A 25,562-nucleotide genomic window follows, 5' to 3' on the forward strand; every position below is an offset into this window, starting at 1 on the left:
TGATCAAATTGGGCCCATTCCTGGAAATTTCCTGACATAGCTGTCTTGAAAAACTGACTTGCACTGGTGTTGCTAAGCTAGCAGGATGTGAATCTGGATCTCAGTGGTCATCTTGGCCGTCATGTAGAGAGGACTGTTCAGAGAGAGAAAGAGCCTTAATGTCACTTAAGTGTCCCAAATCCTTCTGAAATCCACCTACACCGCTGACCTTTCCAATTACAGAACCAATTATCTACTTTTTTGCTTAAACTTGTTGGAATTGGATTTCATTACTTACAACTGAAAGAAGTCCACCAACTTCTAGTGTTATAATAGGGGAAGTTCAGGATGATATGGGAACACATAGAAATAGTACATATATAAATTGTCTTGTAATTTCCATATGCATTTGTAGTATCTTTCAATGTTTATTACATTTTAAACATATTTACTCAAACTGCTTTTGGTTTTATTTCAAAGTTATGACATGTAAAACGTAGAAGGAAGGGAGGAGTGGTAAGAGGAAATCTGAGAATGCTGATTTTCTTATGGCAGGGAATTAAAGGTGAAACATATATTTAAAAAGCATGACTCCAAACCAATAAGTAAAGACAAAAGACCTGATCAGCCTCTTCACAAAAAAGAATAAACACAAAGGGCCAACAAACATATGACAATGTGCTTAATTTCATTAATCATCAGGGAAATGCATATTGAACACAATGGGCTAGGCTACTAAACCACACCCTCCAGAATGTTTAAAATTAAAAAGACAGAGAATATCAAGCATTGGTGAGGATGTGTAGCATCAGGAACCCTCTAAGACTGCTGGTAAGGTTATAAATTGGTACTTTGGAAAATGGACAATATCAACCAGTCCTGAACATGTGCACACTCTCTACCCAGTAATTCTGCTTTAGTTATAAACGCAAAAGAAAGAAGACACAGAAAGAAGAGCAGAAGACATATGAATGTTCATAGCAGCACTATTCATGCCAGCCAAGAACTAGAGACACTGAAATGCCCATCTACAGAATGAATTAATCATTATTCACATAATGGGAAATTGCGCAGTAATGACTATGAATTATGAACAATTATGCAATAATATAATTAATCTCACAAATATAATGTTGAGTGACAGAAGCTAGACCAAAAGAATATATCATGTATCATGTATGATTCCACTTACGCAAATTATAAAAACAGGCAAAACGAACTGATGCTGTTAAAAGTCAGGCACGTGGTTACCCTTGAGCAAGGGGTCATGACTGGAGGGTGGCAGGAGGAGGGGCTTATGGAGTGCTGGATATTCTCTGTTTCTTGATCTAGGTGCTAGTTACACAATGTGTTCAGTTTGTGAAAATTCATTAAGTTATATACTTAATGTGCAGTTTTCTGTATGTGGACTATATTCCATTCAAAGGTATAAAAAGTTAAACACATGACTCCCAGCTCAATGTTTTCCAAAATCTTTGTTCTTAATTTCAAGTGAATTTATTAGAACTTCTAATGGTAAAAAAATCATTTACTTGAAATTCAGCAGTATTTTAAATGTCATCTCATCTTCCTTTTAGTCAGTTAATTTCAAGTGCATTTTAATACTTTTTATTTAAAATGCCACATACAAAACAGTTCTACTTTTTATAAAACTGTTTTTCTCCTTTTTCTTTCTTTTAGCCCTCTTCCATTTGTGTATGTACCTAGGGAGACGACTGGATGATGTTCACCAAATGTTAACTATCGTTAAATCCAGGAGATGGGATGTGGGGTGCATTTTTAAATTTTCTCTCTGGACTCTGCTATCTAGTTTGAACTTTTTATGATGCGCATACATACATATCATTTCTATAAAAACATTAAAACAATTTCTTTATAAAAGAAAAGCTGATCTTATATCTTATGCCTGCATTCAGCCATACCTATCAGAAAGGAAGATTCCTAGGAACCTATTCTACACAAAATCTGATTATAGTGACATAGCTCCATTCAGGCAGTTTGGGAGTCATCTCTGTCATCTCTCAGTGGGGTGCGTTCATGCTGGCATTTTGTACACAGCCTTCTGTTCACATTTAATGGAAATATGTAGGATGATCTCATAGGGGAGAGACTGCCCAGACACTTTCAAAGGTTTTATGTTTGATTTTTAATTCAGCAATGTGGGAAAGAACGATATTCAAATGACAGTGATATTATAACTGGTTTCCATATAAAGCAAAGGGAGGCACCTTAAAGTCCTCATATCAATCCTTTCTTATTATTTTTTAGAGTCTGATATTTCTTGTTCGAGACTGGAGTTTCCCATACGAATTTTCATATGGAGCCGATGGTGGTGCCAAATTCTTGGAAAAACGCCTCAAGGTTTGTTAGATATTTAGGTGCATGAAATTTCACTAATAATCTGGAATTATTTCTGTTGGATCATTTGGTGAATAGATACTCAGTAGCCACTAGCCGCAATCTCATTTGTTATCGATATTAATGACACAGGTGAAGAATTCTTTGTATATATCTATAAAACAATAAGTTACTCCTAAAGATAAAACTTTTACTTTGAAGAATTAAATCACTTCAAGACTGACAGTGCAAATATCAAGATTCAGGTTTTAATAGAGGTTTCAAAGCCAGTGTAACAAATATCTAATTTTGAAATCCCTGGAGTCAATCTTAGAGCACAGAATGTAAAATTAGAAGACCTTCCACTTTCTGTGTCGTGCTGGTTCAATACTGTACAAATTGTTACACTGAGCAGATATCACCAAAAGTGCCTACTGGGAAATCAGGGGAGAAAGATCAAAATTTACAAAAATGTTCCTTGAAAATTGGGATCTCTGAACTTATTAGGTTTACAGTCATAAAAGTTTGTCTGTATTAAAAACTATCAAATATGTATTTACATAAAGTGGGAGGTGAGGGTGATTTAGCTTGTAAGTAAACACCCAACTATTCAGATTCCATTCTAGAATTTAAATGTACACTTACCAGGTGATAGGAGGCTGCCTTGAATATCTACTAAAAAGAAAGTAGAAATATCCTACTTTCTCTTTGTGGCTCCTACGAGTGCTTTGAATTAAAATTTGAATTTGTAGAAACTAGCCAGATTAAAACCCCACTAATTTGTATTAAAAAATGGGAAGGTCCATGTGAGTTAGCATAAGGGTAGACACTTGTTAATTAAAACTATGCCATGCGTTTTCTATACTTAGACACGGCTCTGTGTGGGCAAACCCACCCAAGACTTTCTTCTTTCTTTAGTAGCAGCCCTGTCGTGTCATTTTCATCATTGTGGGACCAAACAGACATAGCAAATATAAGATGCCACAGAATTCCTTTGCATAATTTGTGATGAAAGTAGTTTAAACTTCAGAATGATTTACTGCAGGTCTCAGGGAACCAGCATGAAGAACTACAGAACGTCAGAAAACACATCCATTCCTGTTTCACCAACATTTCCTGTTTTCTGCTACCTCATCCTGGCTTAAAAGTAGCTACCAATCCAAACTTTGATGGAAAATTGAAAGGTTTGTGTCTTTTAATGAATATGTTTGCATCACTTAGTCTGATTATAAAAATGTCATTTTATCTATTGGGCTTATGGCTGATAGTTTAGTTTATCCACTGATAGGAGGCTGATGATTAGAAATTGTCAGGAGAATAGGGCATCCTGGGCTGGTGCTCCTCCTTGGTGAACTGTGGGATTCTATGGGCGCTGGATGTATACACTGCCTGCAAAAATAGGCCGGATCCTGAGTTCACCCAGAAGGCAGTAACCCTCACCTTCTTATCTCTGTGCACTGAGAAGTGCTCCTTAATATTTTTAGGCTTAATTTTCCTTATCTACATGAAAAAGGAAAACAGATGTCTATAGTATTGGAATTCTGTATTAAGTTATGTAATTAGAGATTGAAAGAAATGCTCTTTAAAACTGCTCCTAAAGAATTTAATTATAAATTATTAAAAACTTCACTAAAAATGAAATCTTGTGTGGAAGAAGAAGAGGACCAGTGTCTTAAAAGAAAAGCACTAGAGTGTTTTTCAAATAGTGTATACTTATAGGATGTAATTATGTCTTTAATAGAGGACTGATTGTTACATGATTCCAAAGCAGCTTGACTTGTTAAACAAACAAACAAGAGCAGGAGGGGAGGTAGGAGTCTGAGGAAATGGAAGTTAATCTTTCCCAAAAGATATCCACCAGGTCTGTAGACATACGCTTTGTAGTTAGTACGACATTGTTCAAAGACATGACTTTTTAACTTGAAAGCGTAGTGTTGAATATGCCACTGAATTCAGACATTTGTTTAATTTACTGTGGCCTTTGTGCATCGTGCCAGGAGTGAGACAGTGGCATTACAAGCTTTTCAGCACAATTGTTGTCAGAGGGATTTAAAATTACTTTAAAGAAAGGACAATATAACTTGTATCCAGTTTTACAAAACTGGCAGATTTGAAAAGCAAATGAATTATTTTTGTCCCTGCACCCATGACATTTACTCTCAGATACCTTACATTTAACTTTGGCAGTTAGTACCATAAATACAATACCAAATTTCTCAATCATTAATCAGCATGGTGGTTATATACATTTTATCTTACTTTCATACCACAGACTAGATAGCAGTAAGCATATGGTACATATGGATGACAGGCTCCTATAATTTCACTGTCACACTTATGAATTCCAACCCACTAGTGGATGCAGAGATCTCAGTATTGTGCAATTACCTAATGGCTTTAATGTGTTTTGAATAAATTACATAAAGAAAGCCTTCTTACATAAAGAGAAAGCTTCTCTTTCTTCTCTGGAGTTGGGAGACATAAACAGGCAGAGGAGGGGTGCGCCTTCAACAACAGCCCTTTATTGGAACTAAAAATGATGGTGGCTTGTTCCATTACTGCAGTATACAGCTACAGCTCTTAGATTAACTGATACATTTTGCAATGAAAGAGCTCACGGAGAGAGTTTAAGACAAATCATGCAAATGCAGAATCCTACTTATTATTTTTATTTTTTATTTTTAGATACAGGGTCTCACTCTGTGGCCCAGGCTGGAGTGCAGTGGTGCGATCCTAGCTCACTGCAACCTTGAACTCCTGGGCTCCAGCCATCCTTTTGCCTTAGCCTCCCAAGTAGCTAGGACTAAAGGCACGCACCACCATGTGCAGCTAATTTATTTTTAAAATTCTTTGAAGAGATGAGGTCTTGCTATGTTTCCAGGGCTGGTCTCAAACTTCTGGGTTCAATCAATCCTCCTATCTTGACCTCCCAAAGTGCTGGGATTACAGGTGTGAGCCACTGCACCCAGGCAATTATTATTTTTTTAGAGATGGGGTCTTGCTCTGTCTATCAGGCTGGAGTGCAGCGGTGTGAACATAGCTCACTGCAGCCTTGAACTATTGAGCTCACACAATCCTCCTGCTTCAGCCTCCCAAATAGGACTACAGGAGTGTGCCACCATGCCCGGTTATTTATTTATTTATTTATTTATTTATTTATTTATTTATTTATTTATTTTGCAGAGATGGGGGTTTCACTATGCTGCCCAGGCTGGTCTTGAACTCCTGGCCTCAAGTGATAAATTACAGGCATGAGCCACCATACTTGGCCAGAATCTCACTTTTTAAGACATTTGTTCTCCATCAAATTGTATTCACTTCTATGCATATATTGACCTACACAATTGGTTTACAGTTAACTATAAGTTATGAGTTTACCAAAGTGCCTTGCCTAGGAAAAAGAGTAGTGAAAGGCAGCTTCAATTTCCATAAAAGTTCCATTTTAATGAGACTTTTATATCTTACAAGACTGCTGCTAAAGCCCTCTTTTGTGCAGAAATATCGTACTTTGCCTCCGTGTTTCTTTGGGCAGTTTTGAAAGTCTGCTATCTACATTATTTTTCTGTCCCACGCTGAATCTTACAATTTGGTGTGATTTCTATCCAGGATGTCTTGTCAGCTGACTGTGATGTTCTCCAGAGGGCTGGCATCTCACTGGTTGCCTCTAGTGAAGAAAAGTCTCCGAATAAACAATTATGCAAAAGTTGTTCTTTGATAATAGTTTCTCATATACTCTTTCACACACAGAAATAACTTTCTAGCTCATTATCAATAGTAACCATTGTTATAATAACTATTTGTTCATGGTCCCTCAAAGTATTGCAATTATTATTGTCTTACCTATTTCTAGTGTTATTAAAAACTGATAATAATATGATTAAATTTAACTACTGTTAATTTAAGAACTTCCCAAAAGGAAATGAAAAAGATTAAAGGTACTGAATCACATTCATTTATGCTTCATTCAACCAGCTTTTATTGGGTGCTTACTGAATACCTACCCTAGCACAGCAGATACAATTTTTTAAATAACAAGGAGTTATCCTTTTTTTTCTTTTGAGGTTGCTCTGCGTTATAGTACCATATGTAGAATGAGCAGGTAGCCACATTATAAGATGTGGAGCTGCTTCCTTAGCAGCTGCAGTTAGACTTGAGAATGCATAGTCAAATGCGTGTTTCCAATCACTTATCAGAATCAGGAAATCCTGAGAAAATATCTTCCTTTGTTAATTTATACAGCAATACTATACTAGTGCATCTGCCCTGTGGAGTTCTTATAAAGCATACATCGTATTCTCAATTATTGTGTCAGGTAACCACCACTTTGACCAAGCCCCTAAAGTCCTTGGAAGATTTTGCCCTTGTGGAAAAAATTACTGAAGAAAATTACTGAACATAATTCTGAATCAGCTATTCATATATATTAATTGACCACTTGCAAGGCCAAAGCTTATTAATGCCCCTCGGCAAATCGATTTGAACTGGTTTGCAGATTTTCTGGTTCATGTCTTTACTGTGTTCAACTAACATTAGCAAGAGCTCACCACCTACGTATGTTATGAATATATTGTTCTTATTTTCTGAATCCAAAATTGGAATACCTAGCATTGGTTCCAATGAGAACAAAGAGGGCTACTGCCATCTTCAGACACATTTTTAATCCAAATGTATGGTTAGATGCTGGTTACTTTAATGATAATTAATTACCACACTTGCTGGTGCATTAACACACAGTCGTATCTTATTCCATTCCAATTGTATAAGGAATGTTTGGGGGCAGAAATTTATATACAAGTTCTGAAAGTGATTTTAAAGTGGTTTTATAAGAAGAAAACTTTGTTTTATTCAGAAACTGAAGAATTCATACATTCTAGGTGTATAGTAATATTCTACTAAAGATGAAAAAACGTAAAATCATATAGCAAAAAAGAAACCTATTAGTGTCAGTGAATACAGATACATGGCAGGCAATAAAACACAAAACAGGAACGTGGTAACATAAATACAAATATCAGTATTGTAGTCCAGTGAATACTAGTAACTAAAAAGCAAACCACAATAATAAATCTATATATAGTACAAAGCAAAATTATCAGTGAAAATTGGTACAATGCAAACAGCAAAATAAGTGAATAAACTCCACTGCAAGTACCTGTAAATCACGGTCACTAGAATTTCAAAGTGGCACAAAACATGAAACAAAATAACTTGGAAAGATATCCAGCATCATGCTTGTGTGTGTTATAAAAGAAGTAAAGAAAACAAATTCTAACATAAAATAGTATTTCAATGTAGCCCCAATGTTATAACTGGGGCTATAATAAAGGGGAAAATGCAAACACAGTCTTAAGTTTTGAATCTTTAAGGCCTTCAAAATCACCAACCCCAAAGCCTGAAAACTCTAACTCTGCTAAAATTTAGATTTTTAAAAATTACAGGCAGTTACTGAATTTACTTAGAAATCAAGCAAGTCACTGGACAGATCTTGCTTTTTTACATAGTATGTGTATTTTTCCATATATATATAATGTATGTGTGTGTGTGTGTGTGTATATATATATATATTTTTTTTTCTTTCTTTGAGACAGGGTCTTGCTCTGTCGCACAGGCTGGAGTGCAGTGGCACAATCTTGGCTCACTGCAACCTCCGCTTCCTAGGTTCAAGCGATTCTCCTGCCTCAGCCTTCCGAGTAGCTGGGACTACAGGCATGTGCCACAATGTACAGCTAATTTTTTTTATTTTGAGACGGAGTCTCCCTCTGTCGCCCAAGCTGGAGTGCAGTGGCGTGATCTCAGCTCACTGCAACCTCTGCCTCCCGGGTTCAAGCGATTCCCCTGCCTCAGCCTCCAGAGTAGCTGGGACTACAGGCATATGCCACCCACGCCTGGCTAATTTTTTTTATTTTTATTTTTAGTAGAGGTGGGGTTTCACCGTGTTAGCCAGGATGGTGTCGATCTCCTGACCTCATGATCCACCCGCCTCAGCCTCCCAAAGTGCTGGGATTACAGGCGTAAGCCACTGCACCCAGCCGTGTACAGCTAATTTTTATATCTTAATACAGACAGGATTTCACCACGTTGGCCAGGCTGGTCTCAGACTCCTGACCTCAAATGATCCACCTGCCTCGGCCTCCCAAAGTGCCGGGATTACAGGTGGGAGCCACTGCACCCGGCCCCAATTTTTCCATATATTTGAAATAACAATTTAAGAAATTGTCCCTGTGTTCAGAAGACTTCTCTCGTGATCTGTTTTCTATATTACTTTGCTAAGTCTGTAATGTTAAGCTTTAACCTACTGCTACAGCTTGGGTTATGTGTAATCAATTATATCAAACATGACAACTACATACTCATACTACCTCTCATCTGCTTAAGTGGCCTTTTCTTGCTATTTTATTTTGTGTTGCTGAGTTCCACCACTAGAGGTAGCATCATTGTCACTATCTTTTTGAACTCTGCAGTCCAGTTACCACAGCTTACCCAGTTTTGTACAGTTCTTAGAAGGTGGGCACGCTATGCACGGAGCAATTTTTGGATACATTTTCTGGAGGGAATGCATTATAATAAGCCAGTAAAAATCTGGTCTCTTCCCCATTTATGAGCCTATATATATAAAACCACAAACAAGACTTAAAACATGAACTGGTTATGGCTGGGCACGGTGGCTCATGCCTGTAATCCCAGCACCTTGGGAGGCCGAGGCGGGAGGATCATGAGGTCAAGAGATCAAGACCATCCTGGCCAACATGGTGAAACCCCTCCTCTACTAAAAATACAAAAATTAGCTGGGCATAGTGGTGTGTGCCTGTAGTCCCAGCTACTCAGGAGGCTGAGGCAGGAGAATTGCTTGAACCCAGGAGGCAGAGGTTGCAGTGAGCTGAGATTGCACCACTGCACTCCAGCCTGGGCGACAGAGCAAGACTTCATTTCAAAACAAACAAACAAAAAAGCAAAAACAAAACTTGAACTGGTTATATGAATGGGCTACATACAAAGCATACATGTAAAATCAAGCAAGCTAACTTATAATATCAAGAAAGCTAACTTATAGGTGGAAGACAAGATACATATGAAACGGGAGTGGAAATTTGGGCAAGGAGAATCATTCACTGTGAGAAGAGCAGGTTTCAGGAGTCGCTTAAATGATGGGGAAGTGAGTGATGGCATTATCACTGGGGAGGAAATGGGGGAGATCAAAGGATGTTTTATTCTGTGGCATGGAGGACTGGGAAGGATTCCAAAAATAATAATGGATTTGCTTTTACTTGTAGAAATAGATGATGAATTCATCAAAAACTTGAAAATACTGATTCCTTGGCTACTTAGTCCCGAGAGCCTAGATATTAAAGAGATCAATGGGAATAAAATCACCTGCCGGGGTCTGGTGGAGTACTTCAAGGTATCACTCTCATTTCTAGAGCATTCGTGGGATAGATTTGACATATATTGGATCGTAATTCCTATAAACAAAAATTATAGACCCGATAATATGGGAGCAAAGGTACGAGGAATCTATAAAAAGGATTTTAAAAATCCTTTCTAAAAAGCTTTTTCAAAACCTTTCAGAAAGCTTACTTTCTGAAATTATTCTTTTGAGGAAACTACATATAGGTAACATTATTGTCCCCTTTTATCTTGAGGGAGCTGTATTTTGAAATATGAATGTAAGAGTTGGAAAAGTCTTTTGGGGGGATGGGGTGTTTCCCAGGGTCCATGGTCTATTCTGAATTTTACCTTCATAATTCTGAAGATTTTCCCCAAGGGGATACCTTCCTACTGAAGAAAATACTTCCCCATTTCTTACTCTCTGCACCAAGAGCCAATATGAAGTGGAATTATTTTAAATTTGCATTTACCTGTTTACCTTCCTTAGATAGCACTGAATACTTTTTACCAGCACTGAATACTTTTTACCAACCCGTATATATCCTGGAGAATTTCAGTTACCAACCCAATTGTGGACTGATGCTCCAAGGACTAAAATATCAATTTTTAAAATTCATGTTTTGTCATTTAATATGCTATCATATAGGTTCTGTGTGATCTGTTTACCTTCATGATTGTCAGCAATAAATGCCATGTTATTAATCTAAAATATGAATTTTTACTGCGTGTAACACTGTGGAGGTGCTTACAATTTGGTAGGAGATTCAGGACCTTCACAAGGGTCTGTTCCATAAAGCTTATGACATCAGCAGGGTACAGATTCCTGCGGGTAACTGAAAAGGGCGTTACTCCCGGCAGAGGGGTCTAAGAACATTTTAAAGGGAGTGGCATTGAGTTGAGCCTTTAAGAAGGGCCAGATTGGCAGACAGAGATGTTTGAAAAAGGCATTTCAGGAAAGGGAAACAACATGAACTAAGAAAAAAGGGAATTTAAGTATGAGAAAGATAAAATAGTTATAAGTTCCTGAAAATATTTTTTGAAATGTCAAGAACTTAGAATGCAATTTCATAGAATTAGAGGAAATATTGAATGGAATTGCTTGAACATGAATCTTTTTCTTTTTTTTTAGGCTTATATAAAGATCTATCAAGGTGAAGAATTACCACATCCCAAATCCATGTTACAGGTATTTATTAATGAGGAGGCATGTTTTAAGACACGTGACTAAGGCTAAGATTTCTGGCTGTCAGAAATAACCAAATAACAATATTAGACAGAATAATTTATTGGAAGATTATTTGCCTAATAACTTTACCTATTTATGTGTTCATCTAAACATGTTTCACATAAACATATTGCAGCCTCACTTGTGTTGAGACACAAACACTTTATACCAAAGGGTTTTCATTCTCTTTGCACTAAATTTGTTTAGAACAGTCTTCTATTATGATTTAGATTCACACATGTAACACACAGTAGAAAAGCAGGTGCAAGTTTTAAAAAACTAGTCTCCACAAACATTTTTTTAAAATGAGCCAGGCACGGTGGCATGTGCCTGTAGGACCAGCTACTCAGGAGGCTGAGGCAGGAGGATCACTTGAGCCCAGGAGTTTGAGTCCAGCCTGGGCAACATAGTGAGACCTCATATCTAAAAAATAAGTCAATAAATTTTGGCCGGGCGTGGTGGCTCATGCCTGTAATCCCAGCACTTTGGGAGGCCGAGGCGGGCAGACCACGAGGTCAAGAGATCGAGACCAGCCTAGCCAGCATGGTGAAACCCTGTCTCTACTAAAAATACAAAAATTAGCTGGGCGTGGTGGCGCAAGCCTGTAGTCCCAGCTACTTGGGAGGCTGAGGCAGGAGAATTGCTTGAACCCAGGAGATGGAGGTTGCAGTGAGCCGAGATCGCGCCACTGCACTCCAGCCTGGGCAACAGAGCAAGACTCAGTCTCAAAAAAAAATAAGAATAAAAAATAAATAAATAAATAAATTTTAAAAAGGGAGAAACTAGTTCCCTTATATATTTTTAAAATGTAAGTTCTTAATAGTTCCTTTTTGTTATCAGTGATACACTCTTCTGTCAGCAGCAGTCCTTAGATATATGTGTGTATTTTAGTATTTATAAAATGTACTATGTATTATTCCCCATGAGTTTGGGTTTATGATTTTTTTCTTCCCAGCATTTAATGGCAGGCTAAAAAATATTTTTTGAGAGGAAAACTCTTCCAAATGAAAATTCATTTTAGAAGTATTGTGTATTGAGTAAAAATCTGTTTATGCATTTTTGAAACTTTTGTACTACTTTTTAAAATGTAGTAGAAATATTATAACAGTTTTAAATTATTTTGAGGACTTTGGTTTCTTGCACATTTCTTGCACATGATGCTCTGAAATGTGAACTGCCTGTGGAAGTTTAATCAATATGAACTGCATTTTACATCATATTTTGTACTTTGTCCAAAGGCCACAGCAGAAGCTAACAATTTAGCAGCCGTGGCAACTGCCAAGGACACATACAACAAAAAAATGGAAGAGGTAAGAGTTAAATATTTTAAATTCTGTCTTAAACAAAACCAGTATCCTTCATGCAACTCATTCTCTTTTTTCTTCCATGTTACACTGTACACACATGCAATGAGGTGGCTTTGACTTTTTCCTCAGCCTGTATCACGTCTATTTATTATATTCCTGAAATATTTTTAAAAACATTGTGTGCACAATTTTGAAGGCATTTTAAATGAATTGCCTCTCTCTGTAATATATCCCTATTCACATATTTGGGGGGAGCGCCAGGTCTTTCCACTATTTATAAAATCTAGTAGCCAAAATAGCATGTGGTACCCTCGCCACTACACCTCCTTATATTCCACAATTTTGGTATTTCTCTTAAAGATTAAACCTTTTAGGAAAAAAAAAACAAAAACCCTAAGGGCCATTATTTCTATTTATTACATTTCCTCATTTTAATACTCCAAATTAGGATGGATCTAATAATTATTGTGTATATGTACTACTGTGATAGATATTATTTTCTCTTGAAAATGTTATGAAATTAGGCTGGGTGCGGTGGCTCATGCCTGTAATCCCAGCACTTTGGGAGGCCGAGGCAGGTGGATTGCCTGAGGTCAGGAGTTCGAGACCAGTCTGGCCAACATGGTGAAACCCTCTCTCTACTAAAATAACAAAAAAAAATTAGCCAGGCCTGATGGCACGCACCTGTAATCCCAGCTACTTGGGAGGCTGAAGCAGGGTAATTGCTTGAAACAGGGAAGTGGAGGTTGCAGTGAGCTGAGATTGTGCCACTGCACTCCAGCCTGGGCAACAGAGCAAGAATCTGTCTCAAAAAACAAAATGTTATGAAATTAAAATTGCGTTCAAATTGAAGTCTTAGAATGAAGGAAAATGTAGTATATGGAGTGGCATTATTTATAAGGACAATCAGAATGAAAGAATTCTCGATATAATTAAATCTCAAATGCAGGCATACATACCTCATTTTATTGAGCCTCACTTTCTTGCACTTTTTACAAATTGAAGTTTGGTGGCAACCCTATGTGAAGCAAGTCTATTGACGCCCTTTCTCCAACAGCAAGTGCTCACTTCATGCCTGTGTCACATTTTGGTAATTCTCACAATTTTTCAAACTTTTTCATTATTATTATATCTGTTATGGCAACCTGTGATCAGTGAGTGCTGATGTTACTATTGTAATTGTTTCAGAGTGCCATTAACTGTGCTGTTATAAGATGGTGAACTTAATCGATAAATGTGTTTTCTGACTGCTCCATCAACCAGCAGTTCCCCCATCCCTCCCTCTCTGCAGTCCTTTCTTTTACCTGAGGCACAACAATATTGAAAATAGGCCAATTAATAACCCCACAATGGCCTTTAAGTGTTGAAGTTCAAAGAGACACATCTCTCACTTTAAATCAAAAGCTAGAAATGACTAAGCTTAGTGAGGAAGGCATATGAAAAGCTGACATAGGCCAAAAGCTAGGCCTTTGCACCAATTAGTTAGCCAGGCTGTTGGATGCAAAGGAAGAGTTCTTAAAGGAAATTAAAAATGCAACTCCAGGCTGGGCCCAGTGGCTTACACCTGTAATCCCAGCACTTTGGGAGGCTGAGGCAGGTGGATCACTTGAGGTCAGGAGTTTGAGACCAGCCTGGCCAACATGGTGAAACCCTGTCTCTACTAAAAATACAAAAATCAGCCAGGCATGGTGGCACATGCCCATAGTCCCAGTTACTTGGGAGGCCGAGGCAGGAGAATCGCTTGAACCCAGGAGGCAGAGGTTGCAATGAGCCAAGATCGCACCACTGCACTGCACTCCAGCCTGGGGGACTGAGTGAGGCTCTGTCTGAAAAAAAAAAGAAAAAAAGTGTTACTCCAGTGAACACACAGATTATAAAAAAGTGAAACAGCTTTTTTGCTGACACAGAGAAAGCTTTAGTTTGGATAGAAAATCAAAACAGCCACAACATGCCCTTAAGCCAAAGCCTAATCCAGAGCAAGGCCCTAACTCTGTTCAATTCTATGAATGCTGAAAGAGTTGGTAAAGATGCAGAAGAAAAGTTGGAAGCTAGCAGAGGTTTTTGGTTCATGAGGTTTAAGAAGCCATCTCCGTAACATAAAGTGCAAGGTGAAGCAGCAAATCTTGATGTAGAAGCTACAGCAAGTTATCCAGAAGATCTACCTGAGATCATTGATGAAGGTGGCCACGGTAAACAGAGATTTTCAATATGGATGAAATAGTCTTCTATTGGAAGATGCCATCCAGGACTTTCCCAGCTAGAGAGGAGAGGTCAATGCCTGGCTTCAAAGCTTGGAAGAACAGGCTGACTTTCTTGTAGCTGGTGACTTTAAGTCGAACCCAGTGTTCATTTACCATTCCCCAAATTCTAGGCACTTAAGAATCATGCTAGGCCGGGCACGATGGCTCACACCTGCACTTTGGGAGGCCCAACACTTTGGGAGGCCGAGGTGGGTGGATCACGAGGTCAGATAGAGACCACGGTAAAACCCCGTCTCTACTAAAAATACAAAAAATTAGCCGGGCGCAGAGGCGGGCACCTGTAGTCCCAGGTACTCAGGAGGCTGAGGCAGGAGAAGGGCGTGAACCCAAGAGGCAGAGTTTGCAATGAGTCGAGATCACACCACCAGCCTGGGTGACAGAGTGAGACCCGTCTCAAAAAAAAAAAAGAAAAAAAAAATCATGCTATACCTACTCGTTTGTGCGCTATTAATGGAAGAACAAAGCCTATGTAACAGTACAGCTGTTTACAGCATGGGTTACTGAATACTTTAAGCCCACTGTTCAGACCTACAAAGAAAGATTCCTTTCAAAATATTACTGCTCGTTGGCAATGACCTTATTCATCAAAGAGCGCTGATGGAGATGTATTTAAGGAAATTAATGTTTTCATGCCTGCTAACACAATATCCATTCTACAGCCCAGGATCAAGGAGTAATTTTGACTTTCAAAAGTTAATAAGAAATACATTTTGTAAGGCTATAGCTGCCATAGATAGTGATTCTTTTGATGGATCTGGGCAAAGTACATTGAAAACCTTCCAGGAGAAATTCACCATTCTGGATGCCATGAAGAGAATCTGTGGTTTATAGGAGGCAAAAATATCAACAAGAATGTGGAAAAAGTTGATACCAACCCTTCTGGATGACTTTGAGAGGGGTCCAAGACTTCAGTGGAGGAAGGAAGTGCATGTGTGGTGCAAACAGCAAGAGAACTTAAAAGTGGAGCCTGAAGATGTGACTCAATTTTGTATTCTCTTAACGGATAAGGAGTTGCTTCCTATGGATAAGCAAAGACAGTGGTTTCTGGAGATGGAATCTACTCCTAGCGAAGATGCTGTGAACAGTGTTGAAATGACAACAAAGGGTTTAGAATATTTTTTATTGGTACATAATAGATGTACATATTTTTGGAGTACATATGATAAATTGATACATCCATATAATGTGTAAAGATCAAATCAGGGAAAGTGTGGTATTTATCACCTTAATATTTCTTTATGCTAGGAACATTCGAATTATTCTCTTCTGGCCATTTTGAAATGTACAGTAGATTATTGCTAATTACAGTCACCCTACTGAGCTATTGAACACTGTCTTATTTCTTCTAACTGCTTTATTTGTACCCATTAATCAACCTCTCTTCATCCCCTTCCCCCTACTCTTTTCCTTTCCAGGGCTTTAAAATATGAAATAAAGTTAGTTGATAAAGCATTGGCAGGGTTAGAGAGGATTGACTCCAATTTTTAAAGAAGTTCTACTATGAGTAAAATGCTGTCAAATGGCATCCCAGGCTACAGAGAAATCTTTCATGAAAGGAAGTCTATCAATATGGCAAACTTTACTGTTGTCATATTTTAAGAAATTGCCACAGCCACCTCAACCTTCAGCAACACCACCCTAATCAGTCAGCAGCCATCGACATCGAGGCAAGAGCCTCCACCAGCAAAAAGATTGATGTGCTGAAGGCTCAGATGATCCTTAGCATTTTTTGCAATAAAGTGTTCTTAAATTATGTACATGGTTTTTAGATATGCTACTGCACACTTTACTAGACTGCTACATAATGTAAACATAACTTTTATATGAATTAGGAAATAAAAAAAATCATGTGACTTGCTTATTGCAGTGGTCTGGAACCAAACATGTATTATCTCTGAGGCATGCCTGTAACCAAAGTGAATGGTATGGTTAACTGAGATTACCCTTGTAACTTTTCAAAAAATTGAAAATGTTATTCAAGAACATTTAATATACTCCTAACTTAGTTTCTGGAAGAAAATACTCAATTGGCTCCATTCAAATAAAAATCAGTAAAACTGCTAAAGAATGTATTTCACAGTTTACTTTGAGAGCTTTATAGCATTGATCATTGTTTATTAAACCTCATTGGTTAACATGACTTCAGTGTAGTTAGATTTCCTAGAATTTGGATATACGTAGTTTTCTTAGATTTGGATTCATTCTGTGAATGAACTCAGTTTGCACTTCATGTTGTGTCACACGTCTTTTCATCTTGAAGGACTTGGATTAAGTGATAAATATTATTTTCCATGTCAAAAAGAGAAAAATTTAAAATGATTTTAAGCCACCTATAAAATACCAGTCCCATTTATAGTCATGCCTCGTGGATAGGGGGTGGAAAGATGTGGGCTGACAAAACATATATGCAGGCTCCTGATTATTAACGTATTCTAACAAACTCAACTAGCTAAGTGAAAAATTTTGATACAGTTGCCAATTTTACTCTGCATTGCATAAACAAATACTTCTCTATCTGATACAGATTTGTGGTGGTGACAAACCATTTCTGGCCCCAAATGACTTGCAGACCAAACACCTGCAACTTAAGGAAGAATCTGTGAAGCTATTCCGAGGGGTGAAGAAGATGGGTGGGGAAGAATTTAGCCGGCGTTACCTGCAGCAGTTGGAGAGTGAAATAGATGAACTTTACATCCAATATATCAAGCACAATGATAGCAAAAATATCTTCCATGCAGCTCGTACCCCAGCCACACTGTTTGTAGTCATCTTTATCACATATGTGATTGCTGGTGTGACTGGATTCATTGGTTTGGACATCATAGCTAGCCTATGCAATATGATAATGGGACTGACCCTTATCACCCTGTGCACTTGGGCATATATCCGGTACTCTGGAGAATACCGAGAGCTGGGAGCTGTAATAGACCAGGTGGCTGCAGCTCTGTGGGACCAGGTAAGAACACCTTTAATTCACAACTAAATTCAGCACACATTTGAATGTCATCCATGTGCCAGCCACTGCATTAGATGTTGGAAATACAGATCAACAGGAATTGGGCCCCAGTCATCAAGAATGTTATGACCTGCCCAGATACAAGCAACTAACTATATAATACTGTGTAAAATGTGAAGTCCTACACAACTATTTTCCAGTTAACATTTCAGCATTTAAAAAAATATACATCAGTTTAGTAGTATATATACTTTTTTTTCTTTTTTTGGGTAGGGGGGCAGTCTTGCTCTGTCATCTAGGCTGGAGTGCAGTGGCGTGATCTCAGCTCACTGCAACCTCCGCCTCCCAGGCTCAAGCAATTCTTGTGCCTCAGCCTCTCGAGTAGATGGGACTACAGGTGCATACCACCATCCCCAGCTAAGTTTTTGTATTTTTTGTAGAAACGGGGTTTCACCATGTTGGCCAGGCTGGTCTCAAACTCCTGACCTCAAGCAATCTGCGCGCCTCAGCCTTCCAAAGCGTTGGGATTATAGGCGTGAGCCACCCAGCCTACTTTTTATTATTCTAAAAATGTTATATCTATTAAAAGTTGTAAGAGACAACAGCTTTTATTTAGCTAATTATGACTTGTGTTAACATTATCTCATATTTACAACCTATGATTTGATTAGCATTAGCTTTGTTAGGAGCTATCTGAACCACTATCATAAGTTGTCATATCATTCTCTTTTTTAGTTAAAAACTTCCAAAAGCAGTATCAGATTACTTCAGATTGTCTCTGTACCTGTAGGCAGCAGGTAATAGCTACAATTCTTCCAGCATTAAGAACATACTTATGGCCAGGTGCGGTGGCTCACGCCTGTAATCTCAGCACTTTCCGAGGCCAAAGTGGGCGGATCATCTGAGGTCGGGAGTTTGAGACCAGCCTGGCCAACATGGAGAAACCCCGTCTCTACTAAAAATACAAAAATAGCCAGTCATAGTGGCGCATGCCTGTAATCCCAGCTACTCGGGAGGCTGAGGCAGGAGAATCGCTTGAACCCAGAAGGCGGAGGTTGCACTGAGCCGAGATGGCACCACAGCACTCCAGCCTGGGCAACAAGAGTGAAGCTCCATCTCCCAAAAAAAAAAAAAAAAACCCTACTTATATATACTTTATAACATAATTGTAACGTGCCTTTGAAGGATCTAGCTGAGATAAACTAGTGGTAGCACAATGGGAAATGAATGAAGTAAAAACTGGATCCTCTGAGCCACTTTCTGAAATAGTCCCTCAACCACAAAAGATTTAAGAGGGGTTGAGGTCAATGTCAAAACCCTCCTAGACTTATGTTATGCTAAAACCTATGAGGAATACAGAATTGAGTTCTTCAAAGATTCTGATAAAATATGTAATCTAAACTGAAAAATCTGCAGGAGTATCTGTTCTGAAATGCTCACAAATTAATATTGTAAGCAAAGTTGATTATAATGCTGTTAATAAAGCAGGATATATACTTTTCTTTTTTCTTTTTAATCTGCCTTTGCCACAGGGAAGTACAAATGAGGTAAGTTAAATTTTTTAAAATTCAGAGCTATGTATGTGTAAACATTATGATATTATTTTATAAACTGACTAAGCCATTAAAAGATGTCTTTATGTAGATTAGAACAATCTTTGGTGACTTCTAACATTTAAATTTGTAATTGTGAATTTTTAACATGGTCTTAAAATATTTAACTTTTTCTAGACATCATGTATGATTTGATCTACACACACACAAAAACTAAGAATTGAATATCATCAGTATTTGTTTCATGAATGTGTAGAAAACTTCAAAATTCTTAAGCTCTGAAATGGTGGACTCTGCTGTACTGCAGAGTAAAGCAAGCAGTTATGAAACCTGAGGAAATGTAACTACTGGAGGGTATTTATTTAAATGTAGCTACAACCTTTAGAAGTTGTTTTCAACTTTGGCTTTTGACTGACAGTAATACATACCACTTTAAGCAGGGCCCAGGCCAGTATGTATTCTTTCTTGGCAGACCTCAGGCCTGACCTGTAAATTAGTGTTCATTTCTCCTACCGCACATGTGCAACACTACATATCTCAGAAAAGACTCTAGGCATCCACGAAGGAATCATCTGTTACACTAAGAAAAATTACCACTCTGGAATCATTTAGGTCATTATCTTCAGGAAGCAAAGCTGATCTTGAACAACTATAGAGATAATTCTTTCCTCAGTTTCTACTGTGGCATATAATTGGATTATGTCCTCGAATCAAATACCATTTACTATTTACAAGTCAATAAGAAGTTATTTTATGCAAAATTCAGTAAGCAAGTTCATTAAAAAAGCAAAAGCAAATTTCAGCTTTGTAAATCAAAGCTTAAGAAAAAATATAAGAGAATTAGAATTAAATTGAATGCCTTAGAATCAGAATATAATGGAAAACAATACTATGTTGCACCAATATACATTCACAGATCTGAAGATGGTACCATACAGACGTAATGCCATAAGAAAATCAAGGCCAGGCGCGGTGGCTCACGCCTGTAATCCCAGCACTTTGGGAGACTGAGGTGGGCGGATCACGTTAGGTCAGGAGTTCGAGACCAGCCTGGCTAACATGGTGAGGCCCCATCTCTACTAAAAATACAAAAAATTAGCCAGGTGTGGTGGCAGGCACCTGTAGTCCCAGCCACTGGGGAGGCTGAGGCAAGAGAATAGCTTGAACCTGGGAGGAGGTTGCAGTGAGCCAAGATCGTGCCACCACTGCATTCCAGCCTGAGCGAGAGAGTGAGATTCCAACTCAAAAAGTAAAAAACAAAAACAAAAACAAAAAAAAACCAGATCCAAAGAAAGTAGGTATAGACTCACAAATGATAAAAATTAATGGAATTTCCTGGGAACAGATTACTATTTAAAGGATCTCAAGCTTTTATGCAGCTTTTAAAAATATTCAAAGACTCTTTACGAACTCCAGAACTAAATCAGACAAGTCATTTGTAACTGACTGTCAAGTATGTGAAAGTCAGAGGAGGGGATGAAATCTTAGACACTAGCTAACGGGGCCAGGAAACAAAGATATCTATGAACACTTATATAAAGCAATATACAATACACAGAGATTCCTATGATTCAAACATCATTAAAAACCCACAGAGAACAATAAGAGGTAGTTTTAAATGAGGAAAGCTTGCTGAGGTAATGTTTTTGAATAAGGTTTGTAAGATATTAGCTAAGTCACGGAAACAAGGCAAGAGCGTGTAAAGTGAAGGATCCTACTGTGCTGGGGGAAGGACACCATATGTGCTTAGCTGCATGACTGTATCAGTAAATGATGGAGAATAAAATTGGCCCCACTCAGGAAAACACTGGAAGCCCAGAAAGCAAGTAGCCTAGCTATGCATAATAGTTACTGCCAATCAGAAGTTATGAGGTCTTACAATTCATCTAAAACTGCTAATATTCACAATTTGAATTTTCAGCACACCCCTGGGGCAAAGTAGAAGCTCACTGCTCCAAGAGGTATGCAAGGTAAAAGGAAACACAGTTTGAGAATAAAACATTCACCACACAGGTCAACACACAAAAGTGTTAATGCACACATTGAGGAGTTGAAAATACTTTTGAATTTTAAGATAATAATTTATATATCGATTAAAAAAGATTTCAAATTCAACATGCTAAATTTTATACAGTACGATAAACTAAAAAGGAAAAAATTTTACATCTGTGTGTTTAATAAAATGTTTTATAATTTTGATGCTTTTATTCTAGGCTTTGTACAAGCTTTACAGTGCAGCAGCAACCCACAGACATCTGTATCATCAAGCTTTCCCTACACCAAAGTCGGAATCTACTGAACAATCAGAAAAGAAAAAAATGTAATGCAAATTTTAAGAAATACAGGTGCATGACCAATTGTCAATTAAATATTCAGTTTTATGTCTCCATGCAAACATTCAAAGTGCTTCCATCAGAACGGAGTAAAATACTAAACACCTCTGAAGACTGCAAACTGGATTAGTTCTTTTACTTCAGTGTTTAATAAGCAGATGTATGTATGCATGGTTATACTATTTTGTTAACATGTACAATTTCCTGATTTTTCTTCAAAAATGCTGTTATAAAGTATTTGTCTATTTATGATAACAGTACACGTGTTCTGCTTGAATTTACTAAATTCTACTACTGGGTTATAATTAAATCATGTGATATTCCACGTTTGGATATGCTCATTTAATTTCTACAGAAAAAATTTTAAATTATTTCACATTAGCCATTTGTTAAAACACAGCATCATAACTCAGCAGGCTGGATTTAATCTGTATCATCTTATATATATCACAATCTTATTTTTAAGCACATTTTAGAGTTCCTTAGTTGCTTTATCAAAAACCAGATATTGCTTTTACATGGTTTAATAGAATATAAACCTCTTGATAAAAAATGCACAAAAAATCACTTTGTATATGTGAGTTTCACTGCATTGTATATTTTTTCATTTGGTACACAAAGAATGTATTCTTCATAGGTTTATTCTTTTAATATGTGAACTATTATTAAAGTTTACTCTGGTTCCTAAGATTAAAAACAAATGCTTACTGAATTTGAAAATGAGAGGTGCTGATATAGAATGATGAAGGTTTATCTCTTTTTTTAGACTCAAGATGCATTTTATTTAATGTTGACATCAGTACAAACTTAAGTTTCTATTTTACAAAACATGCTAATTCCTTTAGGTAACTTCTAGTTCTTAATGACTAAAATCTCTAGTGGAGTTTCACTGAACAGACTTCTTAGAGGAAGAAGGAAAGTGTGTTAATGAAAAAAGTAATACTTATCTAGGAGGTCCAAAACAGAGAAACTTCTAAAGACTGTCACAGAAATGGCTACACCATAATTAAGTAGCGATATAAAGTAAGAAGTGACAGGAAAGAACAATTAAGATAGAGGAGTGTGGGAGTTCATAAGATATATATACTGACATCTTAGAAAAGTCTGATCACAAGTTCAGCAAATTATCTTTTCCCAGTGATAAAATTCCACTAGCCACACTTTCATTTTTCAATACCCCTTTTCATTACCCCTTTCAATTATATTGATTCCTTTGTCTATGGCCTTTTGAACAGAAAAATGAAATACAGCACTATGTCTAAAACATGGACTCAAAAACCACGCGCTTAGTTTCCACAAAAATATATTTAATAAGCTTGTTATATAAAATCAAACACTTAACATTGTCAACATTTCTTCAGTTATTCAAACTCACTGATATCTAACTGGGAGTAGTTTGTATTCTGGAAGACTTCCTAAGCTAAAAGTATATTTACATATTTACAACACATGTAAATATAACTGAAGAACTACTTCAAATAATGTTGAAATTCACAGAATTCTAGAGATTTATAGTTATAGTTTAGAAGTATCACCAATTTGTTTGCAATCAAATGTACAGCACTAATTATGAAAAATGTTTTAACTATTAAACCAAAAGGGGAGAAAAACTGGGAGGGAAATATATGGTGTTAAAGTCCTGTGATAAATACTTAGAAAATTAAAAAGTAATAATATACATTCGATTTAATGACCAAAAATTTTTTTTGAATCCCTGGTTGTCATTTTTGGTAGCTTAACCCAGTCTGTCAGAAGGCAGTATGCTATGCTGTCAGGAACTCTCCACTGCCTCGTCAGAGCCATGCTAAATGCAGTAACAGCACTGGCTGAAAATAAGGAAGATGATGTTAGCAACTTTGAGTTTCACGCACCTTCCCAATACAGGCTAAGTATTCCTGCTTATATGTATTCCTGAAAGATTAAAAGGCCCGTCACCCATTCATACCAAAAAATACTTTCTCAACATGCTTTAAAAGGATTCCTTATTTTGTTTTTATTTTTTTATTTTTTATTTTTTGAGACAAGGTCTGGCTCTCTCTCTCTCAGGCTGCAGTGCAAGTGGTGCGATCTTGACCCTGCAACCTCTGCCTCTTGGGCTCAAGCCATCCTCTGACCTCAGCCTCCCAAGTAGCTGGGACTAGAGGCACACACCATCATACCCGGCTAATTTTTTTGTATTTTTTGTAGAGATGGGGCTTCACCATGTTGCCCAGGCTGGTCTTAAACTCGTGGACTCAAGCGGTCCACCCACCTCGGCCTCCCAAAATGCTGGGATTACAGGAGTGAGCCACCACGCCCAGCTGGGTTCCTTACTTTGGAGAGGGGAGACAAACATACATCATATATAAATATTTATCACAATAAGGTTCCAAATCCTATTTTATATTTCAACTACATCATGGTAATATTTAAACCATCCCTTTCCAGACAATATTTCACACTACAGCGGTAAACTTTTTTTTTAAAAAAATACCGCAGATTCTTTTTTTTTTTTAAAGAAGGTACTACTGCTGTAAGAAGTTAACAAGTAATAATTTCCTATTTAACATCTGTTCATAATGACATTTCCGCTGCGTTTTTTTCCATCAAGAATACCAAAACAGTTTCCTAATATACAGTATTTGAAAGTGTTTGCCATATTGGCTCTTAAAATGATAGACTAATTTTTCTCATTCAATAAAAGAAAATTTCTAATAACAAAATACATGTAAAGTTAGAATTTTATAATTTCCACAAAGGAAGCAGCATTTATTAACCAGAGTACTTGTTTGCAATTTTTTATCTGTGAAAATATTTTAAAGCTCTTACAAAACTTAAATTTTTAAAAAATCAGCTCAAAAATTTTTTCCATGTTGTTGGGCATACCACTGCTGTCTCTGCTTTCGGTTTTCCAACTCTGTAAGAAGGGCTTGTCTGTATGCTTCATACATTTTAACAATCTGCTCCAATTCTTTCATGAAGAGCAACTTTAGCATTCCCTGGTATGTATCCAGGTCAGCCAGCTGGAAGAGTTCCCACTTCAGAATGTGGTCATATCTGTTTTAAAACACAATCATATATATGTTCACAACACATACATAAACATGTATTTCTAGCAAGAAACTAGTCTGTTTTTTAAAATGTCAACTTTATTTATAACTAAACAAACCATAAGTTTTAATTAAAAATAACTGGGCACAGTGGTGGCGCCTATTATAGTCCCAGCTACTTGGGAGGCTGAGGTGGGAGGCTGAGGTGGGAGGACTGCTTGTGCCCAAGAGTTTGAGGCCAGCCTGGGCAACATAGCAAGACCCTGTTTCTAAAAATAAATAAATCAGTTTTTTAAAAATCTGAGTTATTAACTGCTATTTACATATAATTCTTTGTTGGTTTGTTTTTTTGAGACAGAGTCTTGCTATGTCACCAGGCTGGAGTGCAGTGGCGTGATCTCAGCTCACTGCAACCTCCGCCTCCCGGGTTCAAGCAATTCTCCTGCCTCAGCCTCCCAAGTAGCTGGGATTACAGGCATGCGCCACCATGCCCAGCTACTTCTGTATTTTTAGTAGAGACAGAGTTTCACCATGTTGGCCAGGAGGTTCTCAATCTCCTGACCTCGTTATTCGCCCACCTCAGCCTCCCAAAGTGCTGGGATTAACTTTGGGAGCCACCGCGCCCGGCCTACATATAATTCTTCTAAGCAAAGGAGAAAACTGCTAATATTACTTCATTTCAATTTAAGTTAAAGAATACCTATTTCTTTAAATTACCCATTATTCTAATATTAACACCAGACAACCTTGAACACAGATTTCAAACTACAGTGGTTCTATAATTTCTGAAGAACATATTTTGTGCTACTTATAAGTTCATCAAAAGTTAACTGTCAGGAACTTAAGAATACTTTAGACCATATTGTGCTTGCAAATGATAATGCACAAAAATGGATGGTCATTTGCATCATTCATGTTGATGCATCTTTTTGAGGAATGCTATTCACAACAGCAAACAAGGAACCAAACAGAAGGAGAAATGAAGAGGAACCCTCAATTCGTGGCTCTAAGTATTCTTGAGGCTGAGTACACAGCATCTAAAAAAACAAACAGGAAAACTAAAGAAGGAAAGAATAAACTTTTTAAAATGAGAGAATGAGTAGACTATAGAAGGCTTCAGTGTGGTGAAGGATTCACAAAAGATTCTGTTTACATATATCATGGAAGACCATTAGTAGTCTTTCAGTGGTAAGTAG

The 25,562-nt window shown here is 37.4% G+C and overlaps 2 protein-coding genes across 6 annotated transcripts in view; one reads left to right on the forward strand and one right to left on the reverse strand.

Moving 5' to 3' along the window:
• ATL1 (atlastin GTPase 1) overlaps window positions 1-22,057 on the forward strand; it is a 99,987-nt gene extending 77,930 nt beyond the window's left edge. For 2 of the 4 annotated variants that reach the window (NM_001127713.1, NM_181598.4), the window contains 7 exons: window positions 2,248-2,340; window positions 3,362-3,500; window positions 9,588-9,715; window positions 10,832-10,888; window positions 12,166-12,237; window positions 17,020-17,451; window positions 21,218-22,057. In NM_001127713.1, the coding sequence (NP_001121185.1) occupies window positions 2,248-2,340; window positions 3,362-3,500; window positions 9,588-9,715; window positions 10,832-10,888; window positions 12,166-12,237; window positions 17,020-17,451; window positions 21,218-21,328 (1,032 nt within the window). In that variant the 3' untranslated portion in view covers window positions 21,329-22,057. Of the gene's footprint in view, window positions 1-2,247; window positions 2,341-3,361; window positions 3,501-9,587; window positions 9,716-10,831; window positions 10,889-12,165; window positions 12,238-17,019; window positions 17,452-18,983; window positions 18,999-21,217 lie in introns of all 4 variants that reach the window. The other 2 variants (XM_047431430.1, NM_015915.5) reach the window with 2 other exon arrangements.
• Window positions 22,569-25,562, reverse strand: part of SAV1 (salvador family WW domain containing protein 1) — a 34,727-nt gene continuing 31,733 nt past the window's right edge. For both annotated transcript variants that reach the window (NM_021818.4, XM_011537057.4), the window contains one exon: window positions 22,569-24,373. In NM_021818.4, coding sequence (NP_068590.1) covers window positions 24,172-24,373 — 202 coding nt within the window. In that variant the 3' untranslated portion in view covers window positions 22,569-24,171. The remainder of the gene's footprint in view (window positions 24,374-25,562) is intronic.

The sequence above is a fragment of the Homo sapiens genome, chromosome 14, assembly GCF_000001405.40.
Source record: "Homo sapiens chromosome 14, GRCh38.p14 Primary Assembly".
NCBI lineage: Eukaryota > Metazoa > Chordata > Mammalia > Primates > Hominidae > Homo > Homo sapiens.